Below are 1,442 nucleotides of genomic sequence, written 5' to 3'. Positions count from 1 at the left end.
TCTCCCTCTGTCACACACGCACACACACATACACACACACACACACACACACACACACCCCACACTCCAAACAATTCTTCATTTGTGTAGATTTGTGTATTACCCTCTTCTTGGTTTTGTGTCTCTAAATTATTTACTTAAATATTAAGTTAGTTAATTTAATTGTGTTCCCCCTCTATAATTTCCATATACGGTTTACCTTTGAACCATATGGGTTTGAACTGCATGGGTTCACAGATACATGGATTTTCTTCTGCCTCTGCCATCCCTGAGACAGCAAGATCAATCCCTCCTCTTCTTGTGCCTCAGCCTACTCAACATGAAGATGATGAGGATGAAGACCTTTATGATGATCCGTTTCCACTCAGTGAATAGTGAAGATCTTGTAATTCTCTTAATAACATTTTCTCTCACTTTCTTTATTGTGAGAATGCAGTGTATAATACATATAACATGCATGACATATGTTAATTGTTTATGTTATTGGAAAGGCTTCTGATCAACAGTAGGCTATTATTATATTACCAGCAGTTAAAGTCAAAAGTGATACAGTGATTTTTGACTTCATAGAGGTCAGCACCCTAACCACTGTGTTGTTCAAGGGTTAACTGAAAACGCACTGGATTGCATGAGCATAAGATAATAATGAGACCTTAACTACTTTCCAGCTGAGGTAGGGGAATTTAAATTCTGCATAATATCTGCTGTCAATAGATTTGCCCAGTAAAGTTTTGTATCAAATAAGTTCTAAGTCTTATTTCACATTTTTATCTCAGTTTCTAAATCTGCCATTATTACATTGGATTTAGGAGGAAAATCCATTATAAAAAACCTGTTCTAACAAGAAGACTGTTTTTTGGTAGTCTCTTAAACTTCATATTGGGTGAAGATTATGCTCCTTGAGGATAAGATTCATACTGTAACAATTTTCTATATCCTCCACAATGTTTTGCAGATTCAATAACTATTTAATGAATTAAGTTAAATTTACCTATACTCTTACAAGTCTTACTCTCATAAATAACCTTCTAATCCACAATTCCTCTAAAACATACAAAAAATTGCCAATATAAAAAAGCAAGAAAGAAGGTGTTAACCATTTTGTCATTCAAAATATGACTCATTCTTTCTTATACAACTACCTTTGTCAGCATTCTTGCCATTGGACTGTCTAGCCTTTGACACTGTTATATCATGGCTTGTCGTTAGAGAAGGTAAAGTTTGGAAAAAAGAAGCAGTTACGTAAAGCAATGTTAGAAAATCCTTGAGTTTCCCTTAGAATTTTGTGTCTTCTACGTGTTTTCTATTTCACATAGATTAAGTTTGCAGAGTTGTGTCATAATTTCATGAGTGTATCTGTCAAAGAGCCCTTTGAAGGCCTATTTAATCCAACTAAGACCATTTTTTCTTGTTTTAATACCATTAAACTTGTTCTCTCTTTG

The sequence above is a fragment of the Homo sapiens genome, chromosome 10, assembly GCF_000001405.40.
Source record: "Homo sapiens chromosome 10, GRCh38.p14 Primary Assembly".
Classification (NCBI taxonomy): Eukaryota; Metazoa; Chordata; class Mammalia; order Primates; family Hominidae; genus Homo; species Homo sapiens.
The sequence above is the reverse complement of the archived record's forward strand: the minus strand, read 5'-3'. Positions refer to the sequence as shown.